Consider the following 8,072-nt stretch of genomic DNA (forward strand, 5'->3'; position numbering starts at 1 on the left):
CTCCCATGACACTCAGCAGGTATGATGGCCAGTTATCACTTCCCCTCTCACACGGTGCCCTGAGACACTCCGCTTTTTCAGTGGTTCGAATATAAAGTAGCAGATGTAGGAAAGTATCGACCCAAAGTGAGGTCATGAATACAACAGCATCTCGTGTTCGCTACGTTTCCTCTGGAATTAGCCCACAAGCAGACCCCTTGCTCTCCTAGTGGCAATTAACCATGACCATCTTCCTGGAGAAGAGAAACTACCTGGCAAAGGGCCAAAGTCTTAGGACTGCTGGGCAGGAGAACTGGCCTGTGTTCAAGGTGAGTTGGAGAAAGGTGGCAGTTGTGAGAATGGGTTGACAATGGCACAGGGAGGACAAGTTCGGTGATAACTGTTGTAGAAGTCCAAGGCTGCATCCAGCGAACCAAGGATGCCACAAGTGCTGTGTTGGCTTCTAATGTGTGACTATATTTACCTTGCTGGGTTCATTTAACTTCTGACACTAAAATCCTGGGGAGCAACATTTTTCATCAACTTAGATTAATTGTGGTCTCTACTTACAGGAACACTGACAGCTTAATTGACTTTATTCGATAGATACAGTTTTTTGACCCAATGTTGAAATTGTCGGAAATTTTTCCTGTGTGGTGGACTAGTCCAATACGCACCTGCTCTGCATTAAAGCAAAACCAGATGTCCAGACATTTCATTTTTGCAGAGCTGTCAACAAACAGGAGTCCAAGCGGGGCCAGTAAATTGAACCAGCATAGGACAGTGATGCTGACAGGTGGGGCAGTCACACTGTAACTATTGCTGTTATTGGAAGAACCAAAAGGAGCTGACACCTCAGAGAGTCACACATCTGGACAGTAACTCCACACAGCTGAAGTTCAACCGATAACACACCATAAAGCTGAAGGGCAGTTATGAGTATGTTTATTTCTTACTAACTTTATTACCAGTTCTTTTGTGGACTTGAAAATAATATGCATGACTCACTTTGAAACATCCTTTCGTTTTCCTAAGTCTCCAGCAGATTTCTGGATTTCTCTGGTTATTTGTATCCAATCCACACTTCAGTTCTAGAGCAGGGCAGCTTGATGGGTAGCCTGACTTACTACGATGGATGTCACTAGGCAGATAGTGTTGCTGAGCTCATGCCTGCTACATTGTCAGTCCATTCACAAAATGCCACCACCATAAAGAGGGCGGGTTGTTTCCCACAGAGCCAGGCACACCTGCCCTGCCCTGTTACAGAATGACCCAGTGTCAATTACACAGGCATTTGTTTTTTGTTTTAAAGAAACGGGGTCTTGCCCTGTTGCCCAGGCTGGAGTGAAGTGGTTCGTGATCATAGCTCACCGCAGCCTCAAAATCCTGGGCTCAATGATCCTCACACCACAGCCTCCCGAGTATTTGGGCCTACAGATGCGTGCCATGCCCGCCTCCTTTTTTAAAAATTTTTTGTAGAGATGGCTCCTCACTATGTTGCCTAGGCTGGTCCCATTGATTATAGGTTCATTGATTCATATAATCAGTAAACTCCAGGTCTCTAGTGATCCTCCACCTTGGCTTCCCAAAGTGTTGGGATATTACAGGCATGAGCCGCCGTGCCCGGCCCTATACAGACATTTCAGTGGTTCAATGACCTCTGAGCATTTTGTTGTCTTACCTCACCTAAAGGAGTTTAAATTTAAGTGGACACTTAGAGTGATCTGTTTTTACTACATACCCTTCACAGTTGTTGAGGGGAGAAAGGGCCTTGCTTTTCCCTATGTGTATTCCCTTTATACTGGGCAGTTTTGGTGCTCTACTTGAGGTATAAGAAGGATTTTGGAGGGAGTGTCCACTGTTCAGGGTATGAGTGAATATTTAGTAAATATTGACTATTCTGCCTATTAATACAAATGTTGACTTTGAATGTGTTGTTGGATGTGCCTTGATATAACTTCTTTTTGTGTTAGCACATCACTTACTAATTTTTGAATAGACTTTTTTTTGTTTGTTTGAGACAGAGTTTTGCTCTTGTTCCCCAGGCTGGAGTACAATGGCGTGATCTCGGCTCACTGCAACCTCCGCTTCCCAGGTTCAAGTGATTCTCCTGCCTCAGCCTCCCAAGTAGCTGGGACCACAGGTGCCCGCCACCACGCCAAGCTAATCTTTTGTATTTTTAGTGGAGAGGGGGTTTCACCATGTTGGCTAGGCTGGTCTCAAACTCCTGACCTCAGGTGATCCACCCGCCTTGCCCTCCCAAAGTGCTGGGATTACAGGCATGAGCCACCATGCCTGGCCTGAATAGACTATTTTTTAGAGCAGTTTTAGGTTCACATCAAAATTGAGTGAGAGTTTCCATATATTTCCTCCCCAACCCGCCCCCACCACAGCCTCCCCCACCATCAACATCCCATACTGCTGTGGTACATTTGTTGTAATCAATGAACCTACATTGACACATCGTCCATAATGTAAGTCCATAGCTTACATTAGGGTTCGCTATCTGCGTTGTACACTCTGTAGGTTTTGATAACTGTCCAATAGCATGTATACACCATTATATAGAAGAGTTTCACTGCCATGAAAATCTCCTGTGCTCTACCTATTCCTCCCTCCCTTCTTCCCCCAGAGCCGAAGGAACCACTGATCTTTTACTCTCTCCAGTTTTGTCTTTTCCAGAATGCCATATAGTCAAAATCATACTATGTGGCCTTTTCAGATTGGCTTCTTTCATTTGGTAATTTTTTTTTTTTTTTTTTTTTTTGAGACAGGGTCTTACGCTGTCACCCAGGCTGGAGTGCAGTGGTGCAATCTCGACTCACTGCAACCTCTGCCTCCTGGTTTCAAGCGATTCTCCTGCCTCAACCTCCCAAGTAGCTGAGAGTACAGGTGCGTGCCACCACCCCTGGCTAATTTTTGTATTTTTGCTAGAGACAGGGTGTCACCATGCTGGCCAGGCTGGTCTCAAACTCCTGTACTCAAGTGATCCACCTGTCTCGGCCTCCCAAAGTGCTGGGATTACAGGCATGAGCCACCACACCCGGCCATTTGGTAATTTGTCTTTAAGATTCTTCCATGTCTTTTCATGGCGAGATAGCTCATTTCTTCTTAGCACTGTATAATATCCCATTGTCTGGATGTACGACAGTGTATCCATTCATCTACTGAAGGACATCTTGGTTGCTTCCAAGTTTCCCAATTATGAGTAAAGCTGCTATAAACCTCTGAGTTTAGGTTTTTGTGTGGGCATAAGTTTTCAAACACGTTTAGTTAAATACCAAGGAGCACAATTGATCATATGATAAGAGTATGTTTAGTTTTGTAAAAAACATCAAGCTGTCTTCCAAAGTGGCTGTACCATTTTGCATTCTCATCAGTAGTGAATTAGAGTTCCTATTACTATGCATCTTCATTTGGTTTTGTCAGTATTTTGGATTTTCACCATTCTCATAGGTGGATGAAGATATTTAATTTGCAATTCCCTAGTGAAACTGAGCATCTTTTCATATGCTTATTTGCCATTTGTATATCTTCTTTGGTGAGGTGTCCAGATCTTTTCTCCATTTTCTAATTGGGTTGTTCATTTTCTTATTGCTGAGGGTTTTTTGTTTTGTTTTGTTTGTTTTGGTTTTAAGAAACAGGGTCTTGCTCTGTCACGCAGGCTGGAGTGCAATGGTGCAATTATAGCTCACTGCAACCTCAATCCTCCCACCTCAGCTTCCCCAGTAGCTAGGACTACAGGCACACACCACCACGCCAGGCTAATTCAAAAAAATTTTTTTGTAGACATTGCTGTGTCACCCAGGCTGGTTTCAAACTCTCAGCCTCAAGCGATTTTCCTGCCTCTGCCTCCCAAAGTGCTGGGATTATAGGTGTGAACCACTGTGTCTGCCCTTATTGTGGAGTTTTAAGAGTTCTTTGTATATTTTGGATAACAGTCCTTTATTAGATATGTCTTTTGGAAATATTTTCTCCCACTCTGTGGCTTTTACAGTTGTTTTAAATAGCTATCTTATACATTATCTACAATAAAACATATTTACACCTTTCATAGTTTATATATTTCCAAATACCCTAGACTTCATCCATAGATATACTCTTCAGATATATGAGTGGGTGCTATTATTAACAGCTCACCTCACTTGGAAGGCCAGGAGATATCCAGTCTGTCCCAGACAGCTCCATGGAAATTACTACACATTTGTTTTTTTTTTTTTTTGGAAACGGAGTCTCACTCTGTCACCCAGGCTGGAGTACAGTGGCGCGATCTTGGCTCACTGCAACTTCCGCCTCCCGGGTTCAAGCAATTCTCCTGCCTCAGCCTCCCGAGTACCTGGGACTACAGGCATGTGCCACCACGCCCGGCTAATTGTTTGTATTTTTGGTAGAGACAGGATTTCACTGTGTTAGCCAAGATGGTCTCGATCTCCTGACCTCGTGATCTGCCCGCCTTGGCCTCCCGAAGTACTGGGATTACAGGCATGAGCCACCACGCCCAGCCTACTACACATATTTTAAGTTACGATGCCTCCCACCAAAGAGAAAGATTTAGTTTCCAGGTAGTAAATATTTTTCTTATTTTCTTTTTAATTTTACTTTTTATTGTTTTGAGACGGAGTCTCACTCAGTTGCCCAGGCTGGAGTACAGTGGCGCCATCTCAGCTCACTGCAACCTCCACCTCCTGGGTTCAGGCAATTCTGCCTCAGTCTCCCGAGTAGCTGGGATTACAGATGTAAGCCACCACTTCCTATTAGTAGAGACCAGGGTTTCTCCCTGTTGGCCAGGCTGATCTCAAACTCCTGGCCTCAAGTGATCCTCCCGCCTAGGCCTCCCACAGTGCTGGAATTACAGATGTGAGTTACCGCACCCGGCCTTATTTTATTATTATTATTTTTGAGACAGGGTCTCACTCTGTTACCAAGGCTGCAGTGCAGTGGCTTGATCACAGCTCATTGCAGCCTCAACCTCCCTGCACTCAGGTGATCCTCCCACCTCAACCTCCTGAGTAGCTGGAACTACAGGCATACGCCACTATGCCCAGCTAATTTTTGTATTTTTTTTAAGAAATGGGGTTTCACAATGTTGCCCAGGGTGGTCTTGAACTCTTGAGCTTAAGCCATCTTCCCACCTCAGCCACCCAAAGTGCTGGGATTACAGGCATGTACCACCACGCCCAGAAGTTACATTTTTAATTTTCTTTCAGACTGTTCATTATTGGTGTAAAGAAGCTCAATTTGTTTTTTTGCATGTTGATCTTGTTCTCTGCAACTTTGCTGAATTTTCTCTAATAGTTTTTTTTTCTTCTAATAGTTTTTTGGTAGATTCTTTGGTATTTTCTATATATAAGACAATATAGTCTGCAAATAGGGATAGTTTTATTTCTTCTTTTCTAGGTTGGATGCTTTTTATTTCTTTTTCTTGTTTAGTTGTTCTGGCCAGAAATTCTAGTACAATGTTGAGTAGCAACAGTGAAAGTAGGCATCTTTGTCTTGTTCCTGACCTTAGTGGTTGTTCCTGACCTTCACCGTTGAGTTTTATGTTAGCTGTGGGTTTTTCATAAATGTTCTTTATCATGCTGAGGAAGTTCGTTTCTATTTCTAGTTTTCTGAGTTTCTACTTTTCATGAAAGGGTGATGAATTCTGTCACCCTTTCCTGTATCAATTGAGATAATGTAGTTTTTTTCCTTCATTTTATTAATGTGGTATATTACATTGATTTATTTTTCTTTTTTTCTTTTTTTGAGATGGAGTCTTCCTCTGTCTCCCAAGCTGGAGTGCAGTGGCCGGCTCACTGCAGCCCCTGCCTCCTGGGTTCAAGTGATTCTCCTGCCTCAGCCTCCCGAGTAGCTGGGATTACAGGCGTGCACCACCATGCCCAGCTAATTTTTGTATTTTTAGTAGAGATGAGGTTTCACTGTGTTGGCCAGGCTGGTCTCAAACTCCTGGCCTCAGGTGATCCGCCCACCTGGGCCTCCCAAAGTGCTGGGATTACAGGCGTAAGCCACCAGGCCCGGCCTACATTTATTTATTTTTCTTATGTTGAACACCCTTACATTCCTTCAATAAGTCTAACTTGGTCATGGTTTTCTCCTTTTAATATGCTATTGGATTCAGTTTGCTCGTATTTTGTTGAGGATTTTTGCATCAATATTCATAAGGGATGTTGATCTGTAGTCTTCTTGTGGTCTTTTGGTCTGGCTGTGCCATCAGAATGATGCTGGCCTCATATAATCAATTAAAAAGTGTTCCCTTCTTTTCTATTCTTTCGAACAGTTTGAAAGGATTGGTGTTACCTTCATTTAGTGATCTGAGAGAAAAAAAAGGACTGGTGTTAATTCTTTAAATGTTTGGTAGCATTCACATGGAAGTCTTCTGATCCTGGACTTCTTTCTGTTGAGAGGTTTTTGTTTGTTTGTTCGTTTGTTGAGACGGAGTCTCGCTCTGTCGCCCACGGTGGAGTGCAGTGGCACGATCTCGGCTCACTGCAACCTCCGCCTCCTGGGTTCAAGGGATTCTCCTGCCTCAGCCTCCCAAGTAGCTAGGATTACAGGCATGCGCCACCACGTCCGGCTAATTTTTTATTTTTAGTAGAGAAGGGGTTTCCATGTTGTCCAGGCTGGTGTCGAACTCCTGAACTCAGGTGATTCACCCGCCTCGGCTTCCCGAAATGCTGGGATTACAGGCGTGAGCCACCGCGTGTGGCCTTTTCTTTGAGACAGAGTCTCTCTCTGTCTCCCAGGCTGTTGTGCAGTGGCGCACTCTAGGCTCACTGCAATCCGCCTCCCAAGTTCAAGCGATTCTCCTGCCTCAGGCTCCCGAGTTGCTGGGGATTACCGGAGTGGTAGGAGCTCACTACCACTCCCGGCTGCTTTTTTTTTTTTTTTTTTTTTTGAGACGGAGTTTCGCTCTTGTTGCCTAGGCTGGAGTGGCGCGATCTCGGTTTACTGCAACCTCCGCCTCTCGAGTTCAAGCGATTCTCCCACCTCAGCCTCCGGAGTAGCTGGGATTACAGGCGCGCGCCACCATCCTCTGCTAATTATTTTTGTATGTTAGTAGAGACAGGTTTCACCATGTTGGCCAGGCTGGTCTGCAACTCTTGAACTCCGGGGATCCGCCCACCTCGGCCTTCCAAAGTGCTGGGATTACAGGTGTGAGCCACCACGCCTGGCCATGAATGTGATTTTTTGATATTGAATAATAAAAGCTATGCAGATCTTCTATATTCTTCTATCTAAATGTTGACACAACTTTATATCTAGAAACTTCGGATTTAAAGCTCAGCCCGAGAGAACCCATCAAATGTTGGAGCTGCAAGGGGCTAGAAAGCATCACCAGACCTGGATTCGCGGGCGATGTTGGCTCAAGGTAGCACAGGACGTTGGCCCAGAGCTGGAAATTGAGGCCAGGTCTTCCGGCACACCCACCCCACAGGACGACCAAGCAGGGCTTCACAGAGGAGTTGGGGGTTAGGTTTATTTCTGTTGTTAAAAACCCGGTGAACAAAAGGTTGTGGAAAAAACACATGCAAAAGACAGGCGAAGGTGTGAGCTGGATAGGGACAAAGATGGGGGAACCCGTGGGGTCACTCCTTGACCCCACCCGGGACACCTAGACATCCACAGTGTCGGGGGAGGGGCCCCAGACCAGGCAGAAGACCCTTCCCCGGCCCTGGGGAACCCAAGATTTCCGAGAGTAAGCGGACCTGTGCAAAGACCCACAAGGGAGGCCAGTGGCCTGTGCTGGGCACTGTACAGCCGCCCCGACCCCGACCTCACGTGGGCCTCGGAGGCTGCAGGGACCTACCCGGCCGCGCGCCGCCCACCATCCCAGGTCTACCGCAGGGGAATCCCCCAGGCTTGCGAGCGCTTCCGAGGGCAGGAAAGCCTGTACTGCAGCCCCGCCGCCCTCTCCTGGCGCGTAGCCCTCTCCCCGAGCCCTCGGGCCACGCCGCCAGGCCCGCGATCCCAGGGCGGCCCGGGGGGTTCGGCACAGCCCGATAATGCGCCGCGCCGAAGCCTGCAGCACCCCGCGGTCGCCGTCTCTCTTGCACTGGTCAGGACGAATAGAGCCTGACAAAACCTGAGTTAAT

At 46.2% G+C, this 8,072-nt stretch overlaps 1 long non-coding RNA gene across 1 annotated transcript, besides 1 other annotated feature; it reads right to left on the reverse strand.

Annotated features, from left to right (window-relative positions):
- On the reverse strand, window positions 7,443–8,024 carry AGBL5-AS1 (AGBL5 antisense RNA 1). Its single transcript, NR_046730.1, has 2 exons — window positions 7,940–8,024; window positions 7,443–7,764 (listed from the first exon to the last, which is right to left on the reverse strand). It is a non-coding gene; the product is annotated as an AGBL5 antisense RNA 1 (long non-coding RNA).
- Window positions 7,809–8,018: a silencer, noted in NCBI's record as "silent region_11279". NCBI's record gives its function as "represses an Ori minimal core promoter by ATAC-STARR-seq in GM12878 lymphoblastoid cells {active_cell/tissue: GM12878}" and the evidence as "EXISTENCE:reporter gene assay evidence [ECO:0000049][PMID:35858748]".

Source organism: Homo sapiens, chromosome 2 (genome assembly GCF_000001405.40).
Source record: "Homo sapiens chromosome 2, GRCh38.p14 Primary Assembly".
Lineage (NCBI taxonomy): Eukaryota > Metazoa > Chordata > Mammalia > Primates > Hominidae > Homo > Homo sapiens.